The sequence below is a fragment of the Homo sapiens genome, chromosome 1 (genome assembly GCF_000001405.40).
Source record: "Homo sapiens chromosome 1, GRCh38.p14 Primary Assembly".
NCBI classification, from domain to species: domain Eukaryota; kingdom Metazoa; phylum Chordata; class Mammalia; order Primates; family Hominidae; genus Homo; species Homo sapiens.
In genome coordinates, this window is record NC_000001.11 from 162,394,329 (window position 1) to 162,413,916 (window position 19,588).

At 40.8% G+C, this 19,588-nt stretch overlaps 1 protein-coding gene across 1 annotated transcript; it reads right to left on the bottom strand.

The window, feature by feature from the left end:
- Positions 1-939: 939 nt before the first annotated feature.
- On the bottom strand, positions 940-17,808 carry SH2D1B (SH2 domain containing 1B). The gene is made up of 4 exons (NM_053282.5): positions 17,555-17,808; positions 8,411-8,474; positions 4,595-4,759; positions 940-2,987 (listed from the first exon to the last, which is right to left on the bottom strand). The coding sequence occupies exons 1-4, from the start codon at positions 17,686-17,688 to the stop codon at positions 2,952-2,954; spliced, it is 399 nt and encodes a 132-aa protein (NP_444512.2). The 5' UTR covers positions 17,689-17,808; the 3' UTR covers positions 940-2,951.
- Between the last annotated feature and the right edge of the window lie 1,780 nt (positions 17,809-19,588).

The following is a 19,588-nucleotide window of genomic DNA, read 5'->3' on the forward strand; positions in this document are numbered from 1 at the left end:
AATAACAATTTAAAAGCAGTAACAAAAAAGATGAACAAAACCAAAAGCTGGCTTTGAAAAGACTAATAAGATAGATAAAATCAATAAATATAAAAGAGTAAGATCCAAATAGACACAGTGTGAGAAAGGAGATGTTGCTACAGTCACAAGAAAGCATTAAAATAATGCAAGAATATTACAAACTATCTGCCAATAATTGTGAAAACAGACAAAATTGACACATTTCTAGAAAAACAAAAAAAGACAAAATTGGCAAAATATTTTAACAAATCAAAAAGTATTAATATTTAAATAGTAATTGAAGATGCCCCCCCACTCCACCCCACCCCACCCCACCAGAGTCTCAAACTCAGTTTTATAAGAAAGTACTGTACTAAAAAATGTCAAGGAACAGATAAGTTTATTTTTATTTATTTATTTACTATATATATATTTTTTGAGATAGGGTCTCACTCTGTCACCCAGGCTGGAGTGCCCTGACATGATCTTGGCTCACTGCAACCTCCACCTCCCGGGTTCAAGCGATTCTCCCACCTCATCCTCCTAAGTAGCTGGGATTATAGGCGTGTGCCACCACACCTGGCTACATTTTTGTATTTTTGTAGAGACAGGGTTTCACCATGTTGGCCAGGCTGATCTTGAGCTCCTGACCTCAAGTGATCCCCCCACCTCGGCCTCCCAAAGTGCTGGGATTACAGGTGTGAGCCACCACACCCAGCCCAGAACAAATAATCTTTACCTGAAGAGTTGTTGCAGAAAATGGTAAAAGGAAAAAGACTTTTCTTCGCTTTATATGAACAGTGTAACCATGATTCAGTAAATTATAGTCCTATTTGGTTTATGAGTTTTAATGCAAAAATCTTAAATGAAATATTAACTTACCAAATTCCACAGTTTATGAAAAATAATAAAATATTATCAAGTGAAGCAATGCAAGGATGAAATGATATCAACAATTTTATTAAGGTAACTTACCTTTATAATGGAGTGAAGACAAAAGGAATGTGACTATCTCAATAGATTAGAGATAGAAAAAAATCACAATAAATGTCAAAATATTTCTAGTAAAAATTATAAAATAGCCTTTAACAAGGCTACAACAAACATAATGTTTAAATAAAGAAAATTTCTAAGCATTCCCTGTAATACTGGGAACAGTGTAAGAATACTCACTATCATGACTATGAACTGTTTAATGTATACAGGAGGCCCTAACCAATGGGTAAACATAAAAAATAAATGAGCATAGGTATTGCAAGGAAAGAGAAAATAAAATGTTATTATTTATAGCTGACAAAATCATTTACATAGAAAACACAATAGAATCAACAGGTAAACTAGTAGATCTAATGAGAGGGTTAACATTTCACCAACACCATATCCTATTAGAAATGTAATAAAACATAAGATATCATTTACAGCAACTAGAAATAGGAATTAATCTAACAGAATATACAAGACTTCAGTTGGGAAAATTTATGACTCCATGAAAGGGCAAAAAAGATGACCCAAGAACATGGATGTGGCATGTTTATGCATGGGAAAACATCACAAGAACGTCAGTTCTCTCCTATTTACAAATTTGTTGCAAGTTCATTAAAAATTCCAAAAAGAGGTTTTAAGCAATTTCACGTATTTATTATAAAATGTATATAGAAGAATCAAGGTCCATGAATACCTAAGCCAGTTTTGAAAAGTAAAAGAGGACATTTGTCCTACCTACCAGACCCAGGGAATAGTAGCCATAAATTGCTGTGACCCCAAATCTCACAATGCTCCACACTTTGGGGCTCCAGCCACAGTGTCTGTTCATCTGTTCATATTACCTCTAAGTCGAGAGCTCCTCTCTTTTAAAACTCTGAAGATAAGTCCAGTGGGGTGAAATACATTACTACAATTTGATGATAGGTAAGAGAAAGGGCATAGAATTTGGTATATTTCAAACTGACCAGGTCCTAATTCACATTTTGAACTAGCAGAAAAATTCAGCAAATCAATTTCAGTAAACCTTAAAAACCAATTCAACAAACCTCCCTCAGCAATGTGCTTCCAGTCAGTTTCTATGAACTAGGCACAGCTCTGGGCAGCACAAATTTCTACACACTGTGGAAGATACAAGGGAGACCCAACCGTGCTTTGATGGCACTTAGAACCTAGTTGGGAACAGAAATCACACATAGAATATTTTAGAAATCTCCACATACATCACTGTACAGAACCACATTCATGCTGTTGAAATGACTGATGCATAAGTGGAATTAAGCAAAACCAGGGAGAAAGTGTGGCTGGGGCAATGCTCACCAGGAAGTTTAAGATTAGAAAGAACCAGGAGGAGAGTAGCCCAGGCTGGAGGGAGAAGGGTGCACATGGGGGTCCAGCAGGTACAGAGAAGGTGCTGATCTGTATGCATCTCCATCACTCCCGATCCCTCACCTTCACCTGACACAAGCAGGCTCAACAGAGAGACTGGGGCAATGTTTATCATCCCACCCAACCACAGAGACAAAGAAACTAAGACCTGGAGATGGGCAGAAACGTGTTCAAAGTCACACAGCCACAGGACTGGAACTCAGGGCTTCAAACTCACAGACAAGTGTGCCCCTCCTCTGTATAAAGCTGCCCCTCTGACTGCATGGTCCAAAGGAGGGTGTCAACCATGATGTAGGGTGGTACCTTTAACAAGTCAAAGGGAAAATGTTCAGGCTGTCCCATTCCAAGAAAGAAGAGTGAAACTGGAGAGGGTTTTGAAATTGCTCCTGGTATATGTCTGGGAGGCGGGGATGTGGAGAGTGACCTCTGGTGCTGGTGGGCAGAACATCTTCAGTTACACAACCAGGAGAGTCTGAATTGTCCACTAGAGTTTGGTGCTCTGGACCTATGCCTGCAGAAGTGGGTCATCAGTGAGAACTGTTACTCATCTCTTCAACTTGCTTTGTCCGGCAGCCTTATCTTCAAGGCAAGACATCCACATAATCGCTGTTACTGTTCTTTGGAGGGAAAAAAAAAGCAGAAGACCAGCCATGAGACCACACCCAGAAGTCATATCAAACAACCCCACTCAAAGGAAAGAAGACCCCTCCCCAGGCACAGAGCCATGTTGATGCCACCTGAAAGTTGTATCTTTAAAGGCTGGGGTACTACAGGGAGCCCTCCTAACAAAATAGGAGATCTCTTTATAAGCCAAGCCTCAGACCTTCCAGCACAAGTGTCTCCATTCACCAGCAAGAAATCTGCACCTCCCTTGGAGTAAGAACATCTGAAGCTTCTTCTAAGGAAGCAATGGGAATGGGAGGAAGAGGTTGATGGGGAATATTTCCTCTTCAGTAGCTGAGAATTTTGGAGCCTGCTGTGTCAGCACTGACCCGGCATGGAAAACTGATGGAGTGAGATTCATGCCCAGGTCTTGGGGAAGATTTCTGAGGGTTCTCCTCCTGGGATTTATGATTCTTTTCTCATTGTTGAGACAAATGCTACCACCACCCCAACCAGTCCCAGCAACTCATCTGGGTTTGCCTAAGGGCTGCAGCACAGATACATTCCTGGGTTTCTAGATCTGCCACACTGTATACTTTTTATTCTATAAATTTGGGGGGGAAAGTAGCTGTGGGACTACATCTGCAGCTGGACCTATAGAAAGTGATTTTTTTGTGTCCATGAGTACACACTGCCCTTCATGGGGATGGGGGGACAGGGACACAATGGTAGGGAAGGGAGTTGTATTTTATGCTTAGCCTTGCTGGGGAAATGAGAAGCCGGCTATGGCAGCCTAAAGGGTGACTTTGCCGCAGACAGAGTAGAATGGGGATGGAGTGATTGCAGGCTCCCAGAGAACTCTCTGTCCTCTGTCCCTCTCCTAGGGAGGATATCTGATCTCATCCCATCACCTGCCACTGATAACTGCCATCCCTTTCACTGAGAATATAACCACACATTCCAACATGGGAAAACAGGATTAAGACCTAAGTGTTTCTGGAAGTCTGAGCTAAATTCAAACAACATTGCAACTGATAGTAAATTCTTTACTGAGAGCAGATTTCAAGAGTGTGGGTAAGGAAGAGTAGCTGCTCATGATATAATTTGAGAGGCTTAGGCAGGGATTCTCTGCACTCAGATTTACTGACCATCTCTCATTTTCCACTACGGCTTAATGCCTTTAAAAATGTATCTGACATAATTTGACACCCAGCACTTTATAAATGAATGCTTAGCAAATATTGAGCAAAGTGTAACAGTATACGCTTTGGGGAGGGCTTGAAGGGCTAGAGTGATTTTCTCATTTGAAAATCTGCCCATTTGCCCATTTATTCTCAAACTTGAATCGTCTGCACAAGGTCACAGAATGAATTTGAAGTCAGCTGTCTGCCCAGGAACCACTCTTGCTATCCTGGCTGCAAACGCAGCAAGCTCTCTGTCTTGGCCCTCAGGGACTAAAAGACAGCACTTCTCAACAAAATGGAAATTGCTCTTAGTAGGATGAAGCTTTTTAGAGATAATGTCACAGAAAAGAGCATTTGTCTGTATTGAGTTTACAAAGTAAGGCATTGGTGGAAATAGGATTAAGATTGCTTTCTGACCCCCACGTGAGAGATTTTACCACAAATGTTTCCAACTCTAATTTCAATCCTCTCCATCTCAAGCTGGGGCTGGTTCTCTTTATTGGCTTTAAAAGGTGAACCACCATCCCCTGATTTGGTTTTTCAAATTTGGAGATCAGTTCCTTTAGGCTTGGAAAGACCTGTTTTGGAGAACCTTCTGCAGTCTGCAAAAATACAAGAAAGGAAATCACTCATTATCATGCAATTGCGTGTGAAATGTGACACTTCTCAAAGCAGTGGGTTTTCAGGGCTGCCCTTCTATGAGCTGAAAAACTGAAAACAAGTGGCTGGAGCTCACACCACTCCCAGTTCACAGAAACTCTCATTTCTAAGACCAACCTCTGACTTGAGCCACTCTGAGTAAAGAGGATTTGCAATCAAGGGATCCCAGCGCAGTCCATAGTATCAAGTGAACCCCATCCTTGGGAAGTTTACCTGGGGCAGTTCTCGCAGATACACTGTGAAGGGTACCCCTGTAAGGGCTTACGTCTGTACCTACAGGCGGGCTTTGCTATCTTAAGGGACTATCGGAAGTGGACTTCTGATGGGAATGCAAAAATGCAATTAAAAAAAATTCCAACTGTTATTTTAAGTTCAGGGGTACATGTGCAGGATGTACAGGTTTGTTACATAGGTAAACGTGTGCCGTAGTGGTTTGCTGCACAGACCATCCCATCACCCAGGTATCAAGCCCAGCATTCACTAGCTATTCTTCCTGATCCTCTCCCTCCTCCCACCCTGAGCCCTCCAACAGGCCCCTGTGTGTGTTGTTCTCCTCTGTGTGTCCATGTGTTCTTATCATTCAGCTCCCACTTACAAGTGAGAACATGCAGTATTTGGTTTTCTGTTCCTGCATTAGTTTGCTAAACATAATGGCCTCCAGCTCCATCCATGTCCCTGCAAAGGACATGATTTCATTCTTTTTTGACCTAAGCTCCTTTCTGATCCCCATGTGAGAGATTTTACCATAAATGCTTCCAACTCTAATTTCGATCCTCTCCATCTCAAGCTGGGGCTGGTTCTCTTTATTGGCTTTAAAAGGTGAACCACCAGCCTCTGATTTGGTTTTTCAAATTTGGAGAACAGTTAGGCTGCTTAGTATTCCATGGTGTATATGTACCACATTTTATTTATCCAGTCTATCACTGATGGGCATTTAGGTTGATTCCATGTCTTTAAAATATGCATTTTGTATACTTTATGAATTTAAAATACACAATTTGTATACTTGATGAATTCACAATCTCCATGTGGGCAAAACAAAACCAAAAAAGTCCCAATGTAAATAGAAAGTGGGAATGGCAACACAACTCAGTTAAGTTGTAAATAGATGTTTTCTGTTTACCAGCTATACACCACGTACTTTTTTTTTTTTTTTTTTTTTTTGAGACGGAGTCTCACTCTGTGGCCCAGGCTGGAGTGCAGTGGTGTGATCTCAGCTCACTGCAAGTTCCGCCTCCCGGGTTCATGCCATTCTCCTGCCTCAGCCTCCCAAGTAGCCGGGATTACAAGCACCATCACCATACCTGGCTAATTTTTTTTTTTTTTTTTTTTGTATTTTTAGTAGAGATGGGGTTTCACTGTGTTAGCCAGGATGGTCTCGATCTCCTGACCTCATGATCTGCCTGCCTCAGCCTCCCAAAGTACTGGGATTACAGGCGGGAGCCACCATGCCTGGCCCACCAAGCACTATTTTCTAATATAACCTTTTAGAAATAATTTTAAAATGAAAAGAATTTTCTGGCTAGGCTCAGTGGCTCATGCCTGTAATCCCAGCCCTTTGGGAGGCCAAGGTGGGTGGATCACTTGAGGTCAGGAGTTTGAGACCAGCCTGGTCAACATGGCAAAACTCCGTCTCTACTAAAAATACAAAAAATTAGCTGGGCATGGTAGCAGACGCCTGTAATCCCAGCTACTCGGGAGGTTGAGCCAGGAGAATCGCTTGAACCAGGACGCGGAAGTTGCAGTGAGCCGAGATCACGCCACTGCACTCCAGTCTGGGTGACAGCAAGACTCTGTCTTACACACCCACACACACATGAATTTTCTTCCTCTACTTTTGTGTATTTGGTTTTCTTGATCGTCACTGTGGTTTTCATATGGCCACCAAGTCAGACTAGAGAAAGGGGTTGGTGATCAGAAGGTTTTCTGATATGCGCCTGATTAACCTCTGTATTAGAGGTACAGGCTGACATCAAAGTCATCTGCAAGGAGGTTCCTTTAATGCAGTCATTTCAACAAAAGGCATCACTGCAGGCTTCTAAGCTCAAAGCTGCTCCCCAGTGAAACGCCTCTTTGTGTCTGAGTTACAAATGATTTGGATGTCTCCCTCTATTTTGTCCACACAAGAGACAAAACAGGGTACTGAGGAATTATCCAGAATTTCCCAAAGAATAAACAGAAAAAAAAGTCTTAAAATAAGTTGCTTTTTATAAGACATTTTATCTTGAAATTATTTCAGACATAGCAAAGTTGCAAAAATAATTTTTAAAAATTACCATATATTTCACCCACACCCCAATGTTAACATTTTATTATATTTGCTTTTTATTCTCTTTCCAAATATATACACATATATTGTGCATGTATATATACACATATATATAAGCTATTTTCAAAGTTAATTTGCAGACATAATATCCCTTTAAATACTTCAGTATTTCTTCAAAAGTAAGGATATTACATAACCATACTACAATGATTAAAATCAGGAAATTAACCTGGATACAGTACTATTTGTTAATCTTATTCAAAATTTGAATTTATTCAAATTTTGTCAACTGCCTCAATAATGTCCTCTATAGCAAAAGAAAAATAGTATAAGTGAGGTGTTTGGGGATCATTTTATATTCTAGTCTCTTTCAGATATTCAGAGTAAACATTAATATACTGAAGATTCTTAGAAATCTGTAGTCTCCTTAACCTTATATGTAAGTGTTTGAGAAAGATTATTTTAGGATTCTCTGTTAGCAGTTATGTTTATTATACTCTACTTCTTAAGCCAGAGAACTAAATTTAAAAGAAGCAAAATGTTTTTCTGCTTAGCTCTCAGTAAACCAGAAAAATTAAACAAACCCTAAGACTTTCAGCTATCTGATGCTTCCCACTATATTTTCGTACAACTATTGGGCACACTTGACTCCCTAAACACTCTGACCTCTTTCCACCGTCCCTTTCTAGCTCCATCTTGCATCATTGTTGAGTCTTCTAATTCAACGGAGGTTTTGCTTGGAGTCCAGGCTGGTGTGTTTGGCCAGTGGAGGAGCCACAGTGGAATAACAGTGAGGGTTATTCAAAAGTAGAACCCAGCTGGGTGCGGTGGCTCACGCCTGTAATCCCAGCAGTCTGGGAGGCTGAGGCCGGCGGATCACAAGGTCAGGAGATCGAGACCATCCTGTCTAACACGGCGAAAACCCTTCTCTACTGAAAATACAAAAATTAGCTGGGGGTGGTGGCGCGCGCCTGTAGTCCCAGCTACTTGGGGGGGCGGGGGCTGAGGCAGGAGAATCGCTTGAACCCGGGAGGCGGAGGTTGCAGTGAGCCGAGATCGCACCACTGCACTCCAGCCTGGACGACAGAGCGAGACTCCGTCTAAAAAAAACAAAACAACAACAAAAAAAGTAGAACCCAAGCCTAGAACCTTCCTATTTCTCTTCAGGGAAAAACCAGGTTAACTCGATCTGACTCTCATCTCTGCATTGTGCTTTCCTTTTTAGAATGCTTTCGCACAGTCATGGCTCAGGTAAAAGACATGTTCCCAGGTTCTTCTCCCCCAACTTTTGTGTTGTTGTTGTTGTCGTCCTTTTTGTTCTTACCTGTATCCTGTAATACCCGTGTTTCTCTCTGAAGATTCGGTATGTGTAGACAATATTTTTAAACCTGTGGAAAAAATGACTGTGTGAATCAAAATGTTCTATGCAAATCCAGGTAACATCTATCGTTATGTTTCATATGCAATACCTTTGTTAATCTACAATCCTAAAAAAACTCTTTTTTTTTTTCTGGGACGGAATATCACTCTGTCGCCCAGGCTGGAGTGCAGTGGTGCGATCTCAGCTCACTGCAACCTCCGCCTCCCGGGTTCAAGCGATTCTCCTGCCTCAGCCTCCTGCGTAGCTGGGATTACAGGCACCCACCATCATGCCCGTTAGAATGGCTATTATCAAAAAAGACAAAGGATATAGAGAAAGGAAAACCCTTGTACAATGCTGATGGGAATGTAAATTAGTATAGCCATATGGAAAACAGTATGGAGGTTCCTCAAAAAATTAAAAATAGAATTACTGGCCGGGTGCCGTGGCTCACGCCTGTAATCCCAACACTTTGGGAGGCTGAGGAGGGCAGATCACGAGGTCAGGAGTTTCAGACCAGCCTGGCCAACATAGTGAAACCACGTCTCTACTAAAAATACAAAAATTAGCTGGGTGTGGTGGCGTATGCCTGTAATCCCAGCTACTCGAGAGGCTGAGGCACGAGAATCGCTTGAACCCAGGAGGCGGAGGTTGCAGTGAGCCAAGATCATGCCACTGCACTCCAGCCTGGGCGACAGAGCGAGACTCTGTCTGAAAAAAAAAAAAAAAAAAAAAAAATATATATATATATATATATATATATATATATGTAATTACTATATAACCTCACTACTGTGTATATATCCAATGGAAATGAATCTAGTATGTTGAAGAAATATCTGCACTCCCACTTTTATTGCAATATTAGTCACAATAGCCAAGACATGGAATCAACCTAACTTGATTAATAGATGAATGAAGAAAGTTACACACACACACACACACACACACACACACACACACACACAATGGAATATTATTCAGCCATAGAAAAATAAAATCCTGTTACTTGCAACAACATGGATAAATCTGGAGGATGTTATCCTAACTGAAATAAGCCAGGCACAGAAAGAAAAATACCACATGGTCTCACTCATACGTGGCATCTAAAAAAAGTTGATATCATAAAACTAAAGAGTAGAATGAGAGTTCTCAGGCCTTGTCAGTGAGAGGGGGAGGATTAGGGAGATATTGGTCAAAGGATACAAAATTTCAGTTAAACAAGAGATCTATTGTACAACATGATGACTATAGTTAATAACCATATATTACGTTCTTAGGCAGGGCACAGTGGCTCAGGCCTATAATCCTAGCACTTTGGGAGGCCAAGGTGGGTGGATCACCTAAGGTCAGGAATTCAAGACCAGCCTGGCCAACATGGTGAAACCCTGTCTCTACTAAAAATACAAAAATTTGCTGGGTGTGGTGGCAGGCACCTGTAATCCCAAGTACTCAGGCGGCTGAGACAGGAGAATAGCTTGAACACAGGAGGTGGAGGCTGCAGTGAGCCGAGATGGTGCCACTGCACTCCAGCCTGGGTGACAGAGTGAGACTCCATCTCAAAAAAAATAAAATAAAATAATAACCATATATTATATTTTTGAAAAATGCTGAGAGGATATTTTAAGTTTTCTCACTACAAAAATGATAACTTGATGAGGTAATGCATATGTTAATTAGCTAGATTTAGTCATTCCACAACGTATATATATTTTAAAACATCACATTGTACAAAATAAGTACATATAATTTTATCTATCAAATAAAATAAAATGAATTAGATTGTATACTTTAAATATGTACAGCTTATTTTACTTGAATTAGACTTAAGTTTTTAAAAATAAAAAAAGTAAAATCTGCTGTTGAACCTCAATAAAAAAAGAAAAGAAAATACATGGATGGCAAATAAGCACTCGTAAAGATACCCAGTATCATTAGTCATTAGTGAAACGCAGATTCAACTCACAATGAGATACCACTACACACTTATTAATACAGTTAAAATGTAAAAGACTGACCGTTCCACATGTTGGTAAGGATGTAGAGCAATCAGAACTCATGTAATGCCCATGGGAATAGTGAGATCGCATGATCACTTTGGGAAACAGTTTGGCAGTTTCTTAAAAAAGATAAGCCTACATAGAACACACAACTTAGCTGTTCCAATCCTGATTATTTACCCAGGAGAAATGAAAGCATACACCCACACAAAGACTTAGTCACAAATATTCATAGCAACTTTAGCTGTAATAGCTATAAATGAGTAAGCAATTTGGGATGCATCCCTACAATGGAGCACTATTCAGCAATGCAAAAAAATGAACTATTGCTGCATGCAACCACATAGATGGATCTCAAAATAATTATTCCGAATAAAAGAAGTCAGATAAAAATGACTACATACTCTATGATTTGATTTACATTAAATTCTGGAAAAATACACATTAATCTATAGTGCCAGAAAGCAGTTTGTGGTGGCCCAGAGTCTGGGCATAGGTGGGAGGTATGTTGATGAGAAATTACAAAGGGGTGCAAGTGAAGTTTTGGAGGTGATAAATATGTTCATTATCTTGGCTGTGTTCGTTTCATAAGTGTACATACATATGTCAAAATCCATCAAATTGTACACTTTTTATTTTATGTCAGTGATACCTCAATAAAGCAGTAAGACATATTCATGGCATAAAAAGGTAGATGAATATAATTTATCTTTCTAATATATAAACTAAATTTTAATTCCTTATACATATGTGCTTTTGCTGTTTTCATGATTGGTTTTTGGCCTCAGATAGAAAAAGTGTTTCCTATTTTTGCAGTTATGTTCTCAATAAATATGTGGTGTCTTGACTCTCTGTGTGAGACTGATACCCAGTGGAGCCTACCTTTTTGTTTATTCTATGGAAATCGTTGTCGTCATTTATGAGAAATACACTGGACTTATAAAAAACATTTAAAAATCTTAGGCATTAATTTCTCAGTTGAGGTTCAAAAAGGCTGGAATACAGGACCTCTAAGTTTTCCCATATCTTTGAATTGTTTTACTCTATCTATTTAGCTTTCAAAGTGATCGTTCCATGAGGTGCTGTGCACGGATCTCTGAGTCCTTGCTCAACGCATGAACAGCCCACAGATTAGCACGGTCTCATGTTGTGGCCATTGTTGTGGGGAAACTTGTTTGTGTTCAAGTTTTTATTTTAACTAACCTTCAAAAGGTCAGCTGAAGGAAATGGAATCGACTGCACCCTATAATATCAACAATGTGTTCTGCATTTTTCCATGCCATGATGCAAGTGGGAAATCCAAGTCAACAAAGAAATATTTTAAGACTTTTGACCTCTGGCCTTATCACTGTTCCTGATCTCAGTGTATCTTGGTGCAACCTTTTGTGGTACTAATTTTTCAGTGTGCATGAAGATTTTTTTAAACATCTAGGATTTTATCCTAACTAGGGAGTAAGGCAAACTTTCACAGATGTAAGTACAAAAATGTTAATCATTCCAAATTACACTGAGTCCACTGGACTAAATTGCAAATGAAAATTGAAAATAACCTAATGTATGATATGTATACATTATGATATATCAAATCAATAAAATACTAAGCAGTCATAAGGGGATGACCTGCTTTCTTTGATGGGGAAAGAGACCTACAATTATGGAGAAAACAGGTTGCAAGCCATCATGTATAATGAACCATTTATGTACATATATTGGTTTATAGATGCGCAGAGAAGTCTGGAGAGATGTATGCCAAAATATTAAAAATGGTGATTTCAGAGTGGTGAGACTGATATAGTTTGTTTTGTTTTTTATACCTTTCTCTATATTTGATTTTCTAAAATGAATTTTCATTAGCTTGATAAACCACCACAACAAAATGGATCATTTCTTTTCTTTCTGTACTCTACAATCCTTGCAAAAGTCTCAGAATCTGAGACTCATAAATGACTCTCAAGGCAATAGATAGACATTGCCATTATTATTCTTAATGAGAGCATGCAGTAGGTTAGGGCTCAGGTCTTCCTCACCTGCAGCCTTCCTATGGCTTTGCAAAGTCCTCCTTTTCTTCACACTTGCAGATGAATCCTTTGCACCTCCTAATATCTACTCCATTTAATTTTACTGATGATAAAGGCAGACAGTTTAGACACTCACAAAGTCACACTACACAGACAACCTTTTACACACTGGAGTTTTCTAGACACTCTATTACATTGTAAGATCAGAAAACATTTCCTGTCCACAGTTACCACATAGCTTTCTGGTTAGTGCCATATGCTGCTAGGTCAGCTCTCTCTGTGACCTCCTTCTTTTATTTCTAACCTTCCTCACAGTATTTTCATCACTAAATATTTAGCTCTGTGAAAGTCCTGAAGTATCGGGGGAACCAGCCCCCAATATTTCAACGTAGGTTCTTTTCTATTCTCCCTAAGTGTCGGCCAGTCTAAGAAATAAAGGGAAAGAGTACAAAACAGAGAAATTTTAAAGCTGGGTGTCCAGGGGAGACCCATTTTAATGCAGCAGAGAAGAAGGGGACACTGCATATCAGAGTCCACTCCCAAGCCCTCAGGTCCCCTGCTTGGGCATTTTATAACACAGATCCAAGGTGATTACCTGAAACATATTTCAGTGAAGCTGGGGACATTGGTAAGAGAGGGAATGTAATAACATATTAGCAATTTGGCCCTAGGCAAGCTATTAAATAAGAAGCTACAGTTTATTTTCTCACAAAATAGTGATCATGTCGCCTACCGCAAAGGGATTGCAAATGACAAATAAGATAATGCATGTACCATGCTTAGCAAAATGTTTGGCTCATAGATAATACCTACATGGTAACTTTTTCTGTGTCAGTGAAGACAAGCAGGCTAACACTTGTATCATAATAGTAATTCTTGCTTTGCTTGCAAAGGGTTGTATCTTGAAGCATGAATTGGTTGATGTGACCTCTTCAGAGAAACCTTTCCTGTACCCAATGGAAAGCAGCAGCTGTGTCTCTCCCTGTCATATGACTCTGTTTCATTTTCATCATATTTTCTCCTCTTACTGAAATTAACTTCATGAGGGCAGAAACATTGCCAGTAGTATTTATCACTGTATTACCAATGCTTAGGACCACGCATGGAACATAATAAGTGCTCAGTATATGCTTGTTGAATGAATGAAGGTTCCACTTATTCTCCTAAAGTCTCAGCTCCAATATCTGGTTCTCCCCTTTTTGCTGTCAGCTCTACAGTGCCCTAATGATAGTCCAATCATCATAATTATCACATGCATCACTGTGTCTGTTTACTTCTTTATTTTCCCCACTAGGCTCTGAGTTGTGTTGAAGGCATCAACCGAGTGTCTAGCACACTGTCTGACATATGAGAGAATTCAAATATTTGTTGAACAACTAGAATTTAATAGTCCATACTTATCTGTATGATAATACATTTTTACAAGGCCCTATGAGGAGATAGCTTCAGGGGTCACTTGACCTAAGCCTTAAGCCTGAGGGTGAATGAAATGTTGTTTGCCTTTCAGTGACATGTGTAGGGAGGTGGGTGAGACCTGATCATGTGCAGGGGCTTAACAAATATTTATTTTTGCCTCTCCACTTGGTTTATTTTCATTTTTTAGCTTCTCTTTTTTTCTCTTCTTTTTTTTTTTTTTTTTGAGATCAAGTCTCGCTCTGTAACCCGGCTGGAGTGCAGTGGTGCGATCTTGGCTCACTGCAACCTCCGCCTCCTGGGTTCAAGCAATTCTCCTGCCTCAGCCTCCTGAGTAGCTGGGACTACAGGCGCATGCCACCACACCCAGCTAATTAGTTTTGTATTTTTAGTAGAGACAGAGTTTCACCATGTTGGCCAGGATGGTCTCAATCTCTTGACCTAGTGATCTGCCCGCCTCGGCCTCCCAGAGTGCTGGGAATACAGGTGTGAGCCACCACGCCTGGCCCATTTTTTAGCATCTCTTAGTGACCTTTGCTTTAGATGAATATGCAAGATGGGCTGATGCACCACAGAACAGTTGAGAATAAATATCAATTTTCAAAGAGAATCCCAATATAGGCTGGGTGCAGTGGCTCATGCCTGTAATCCCAGCACTTTGGGAGGCTGAGGTGGGTGGATCACTGGAGCCCAGGAGCTCGAAATCAGCCTGGGCAACATAGCGAGACCCCATGTCTACAAAAAATTTAAACATTAACCAGGCATGGTAGTGCGCACCTGTAGTCCCAGATACTCAGGGGGCCTGAGACAGGAGAATCTCTTGAACCCAGAAGGTTGAGGTTGCAGTGAGCCATGATCGCACCACTGCACTCCAGCCTAGGAGCTGGAGTGAGACCCTGTCTAAAAAAAAAAAAAAGAAAGAAAGGAAGGAAGAGAATCCCATATTGACCATATACCCTGAGATCCTGGCCAAGGTCTGTCCTTGCACCTTCTTGTTTTTTCCCTTCCCACTGCTTGCCCCAGCACAACTAGCTCTTCACCGTCTCCCGTCCAGAGACACAACAGTTTCTGTTGCCATCATTTCCCAGCTTCATTGTGTTCTCCACGTCAAATTGAAGTTCCTAAATTCACCAGTCTTTTCACTTCCCTGCTCAGAAACCATCCATGTTTCCCTGTTATCTATAGAACCATTCTTTTAAAACTCCATGATCTTATCCCACCCTCCTTTTCCAAAAGCTGGTTTCCAAACTACATTTTAGGAACCTTGTATGTAAATCCTTTAAAATATCCCACTTCTAGACTCCTGTTCCTACCTCCTCCCCTTCCTAAAATGCCCTCCATCCCATTTACATGTAAGCAGATCTTTTCCACTCTTTGTTTATTTTATTTGAGATGGAGAGTCTTTCTCTGTCTCTCAGGCTGGAGTATAATGGCGCGATCTCGGCTCACTGCAACCTCTGCCTCCTGGGTTCAAGCGATTCTCATGCCTCAGCCTCCCAAGTAGCTGGGATACAACTGCACCCACCATGCCTGGCTAATTTTTGTATTTTTAGTAGATGGGGGTTTCATTATGTTGGCCAGGCTGGTCTTGAACTCCTGACCTCAGTGATCAGCCCACCTCAGCCTCCCAAATTGCTAGGATTACAGGCATGAGCCACCGCGCCTGGCCAATATATATTTTTCTTTAAATGGTACTGTTGGATGTAGATATGAGAGAAATAGCCTGTATCTCCAGTACCATTTAAAGAAAGAAATATGTCCCTGTGTATTCTATTAGTAATGACAATCACTTTTGTCTATAATCAGACTTCTGAGCCTATTCCAAGGCCCATTTGTGTACTTCCTTGTAAAATCCAGTTTTAGCAAAGAACCCTACTAAGTCAGTTTGGCAAGGACCCCTCACCCTAGCTATCTGATCACTGTTGGATTCTGATCAGATTCCTCATCCTCCACCATCCCCCAGGCAACATCTGATCACCCGGGCCTGTCTTCAGCTACAATTCTGTTAGGCTGGTTTAGCCAGAATCCACTTTACCCCTGATGTTTCCTCCGAGTAATTTTCTGTCTACCGACAGCCACACTGCTCCTTGGCCATAAATTCCCACTTGTCCATGCTGGATTCAGAGTTGAGTCCAGTCTCTTTTCTGTGCCGCAAGAGCTCATTGCAGTGGTCCCTGTACCTTTGTGATGATCCTGAATAAAGTCTTCCCAACCATAATTTAACAAGTGACATTGAGTAATTTTTTTCTTTAACAAGAGACATTTGGATTTTAATTTCTGTTACAGGTATAATAAAAGGTTCAGTGGTCCCTACTTTACAAAGAGGAACATACATAAAGATAGGAGGTTTCTAGTGATTTCTGTTCAGGATTGCTTTCTAAACTGGGCATAAACAAGTTCCTTCAGCTAGGTCTCTTTGATACTGTGGCCTGGAATTTGTTTTTCTTTTTCTTTTTTTTTTTTTTTTTGAGATGGAGTTTTGCTCTTGTTGCCCAGGCTGGAGTGCAATGGCACAATCTCAGCTCACTGCAACCTCCACCACCCGGGTTCAAGTGATTCTCCTGCCTCAGCCTCCCAAATAGCTGGGATTACAAGCATACGCCACCACACCTGGCTAATTTTGTATTTTTAGTAGAGACGGGGTTTCTTCGTGTTGGTCAGGCTGGTCTCGAACTCCCGACCTCAGGTGATTCACCTGCCTCCGCTTCCCAAAGTGCTGGGATTACAGGAGTGAGCCACTGTGCCCAGCCACTCTTTTTTCTTTTTTTTGGACAGAGTCTCACTCTATTGCCCAGGCTGGAGTGCAGTGGTGCAATCTCAGCTCACTGCAGCCTCTGCCTCCTGGGTTCAAGTGATTCTCCTGTCTCAGCCTCTCAAGTAGCCAGTATTACAGGCACACGCCACCACACCAGGTTAATTTTTGTATTTTTGGTAGAGATGGGGTTTTGCCGTGTTGGCCAGGCTGGTCTCAAACTCCTGACCTCAAGTGATTCACCTGCCTCAGCCTCCCAAAGTGTTGGGATTACAGGCATGAGCCACCATGCCCAGCCTGGAATTTCATGTTTAACTTAGACTCTGGAAATTCCAAATGAGTTTTAACACAAACAAATTATTTGAGAAATTCAGGTCTCTGTTTCTTTACCTATGAAATGGTGACTGCTTATGCTTGCCTTGATAGACTACTAGGATGAAAGGAAATGACGAATATTGAAGTCCTTCACAAATCTAACAAAATGTGAAATATGATTGTATTTATAGTTTACGTATTGCAAGCAGATGCTGCAGAATAAGTGTTTCAGATTGAAATTTCTTGAAGAACCCCTAGCCTTTTCCATACCAAATAAACAGATCTCTGGAGGACAGGACCTCTGACATTTGTACCTTCTTTCCATCCCTCTGTACCCCTGTACTTCCTGCAGCCCTTCCCTTCACCACCACCATGTCCCTCCTGCTGCTGCAGAGTCTGCTTGCAGGGCCTTTACACCAGGGAGAGCAGGCAGATGGAGGAGCATGGACAGATACATTCCTCTCCTGGCAGTGTCCATTACTTCTCATTCTACTCATTGAGACTCCAAAGTCAGAGTGAAATACTGAGGGATATGAATTCCTGTACTGTGTGGCAGCCATTGCCACATTCAACATACGATGTCAGATGTGTGCAAGATGAGGCTACTCACGAGACACAGAGGCACAGGACTCCTGGTATCGACTCGCTGTCTCTTAAAAGAAAGTTGCCATCCACCCCTTCCTTGAGCAGCAAGGTCTCACAGTCTTGCTTGGTCAGACGTCCATGGTAGTAAGGCAGATCCATGGAGAACGCTCTTGTATCCCAGGAAGCCCTGTTGGCCTGAAATTCACCCCCAAGTCAAGGGACAGCTCTGAGGAGAGATGTGTAAGCAGCTGTACCTCCTGTGGAGCTACCTCTTCCTCTAGCGGTCTGTGGGACTCAGCCAGCTTCACAAGATTCAGGAAATGAGGAGGGCGGGGTGATAAAATGACCAACACTTTTCACCCTCTAAATGGCCCACATGTGACTCACAGAAGTAGGTAAAGCACATTTAAACACACAATGGAATCAGTGATGCTCATGGCTAGGGAGGCAATGCTGAAGTCAAGCTTCCTGGAACTGTGTTGCAGCCTTGTATATTACCATGGACTATCATCAACTTCTTTGGCTACTGGTATCCTTTCCAGGAAGCACACCGCTGCTTTTGCTGTAATGGTACCCATTTTCTGCTGAAGTTGCCTAGGATTGGGCTATGCTTAGCTTAGACTGGGTGCTCAAAAACCATTTGGATGCTGAGAGAATTGATATGCTCAGATACAATGGGAAAATTGAAAGGGTGGGATTTCCGTGGATCAAATGACACTAAAAATGGAAGACATTAATGGCAATAAAAAACAGTGGGACACTGTGGATGAGGACAGCCCATTCCATGGCTAAGGCTCCCAGCCACTGGTGAAAAAAGGCCATTTGAACACCCTCAAGCATTGTTCCTTTTGGAGAAAGGGCTGGTGTAGGTGGGAGGGATATCTGGGTATACTCATATATCTACAGAAAATCACTATATATATCTCAAAAATGTTATCTATGAAAATAGAACTATGTGCTAACGATTCATCTTTACTTCTCTTAACTTCTTCTTTTTTTTGTTTTCTTCATCTCCGTAGTACCTGGAGATCTTAACTTCTTCTTAACCTAGATGTTTATTTCACCTTGCTACTTTGCTTACCAGCTGTTTACTCACAGTTGGGTGTATCTTCTATGGAACTTCCTTGTAACAGATCTTTGTTCTTCCTTGGAATTCCCACTCTGCATTTGGCATAGTGCAGTTTCACTGATCAGGGAACTCGTTATCAGACAGATATGCTCTCAAATAGCAACTTTTCTTCTGTGGTTTTGGACAATTCATTATTCAATTCTCTGGAAACTATGGCAGTTGAAGACAGAGTTGTTAATAATGAAAGAAGAAATTTGGTATTTCTTGTGAATAAATTCACAATCGTGGTGTAAAGATGCTTTTTGACATAAGAGAGGAAATAACTGAAAGCATGCTCAGGCTCTTGGTCATCACAGGGGCTTCCTTGCCCTTTTTGCTGTTTCAAAATCCAACCCTCACAATAAAAGAAATGCAAATTACCTGCATGCTGAGATAACAACTCTCACCTATCATATGGGTGAAAATCAAAAGTTTGAAAGCTTATTGGGTTGGTCATGGTGAAAGAAAATAGAATATCTTGTATATCATTAGTTGGAATAAAAAATAGTTACAACTATAGTAAAAGATGGTTTGGCAATATCTTGCAAATTTATGTATGCCTTCACCATCTGATAGAACAATCTCAGTTCTAGAAATCTGTCACAAAACTACACAGGCAGAATTAGAAAATGACTTGTGAATAAGGTAGTATTTTTTAATAGAAAAAGATTACAAACAACTCAAAGACTTGTGAATAGAGGGACAGGTGAATAAACTGTGATTCATGTATACAATGGAATATTACTATAGAATAATAAAATGGGATTGAGGAAGATCTCTATATGCTGATATGCAATAATCTTCAGGATGTATTTTTAGGTGAAAGCAGCAAGATGCACAATAGTATATAGAGTATGGGGGATATAAATAAATATATACATTTATAATATTTGCTCATATTTAAAAAACAAACGAAACACCCACTGGAAGAACAAAACTAAAACTAATTAA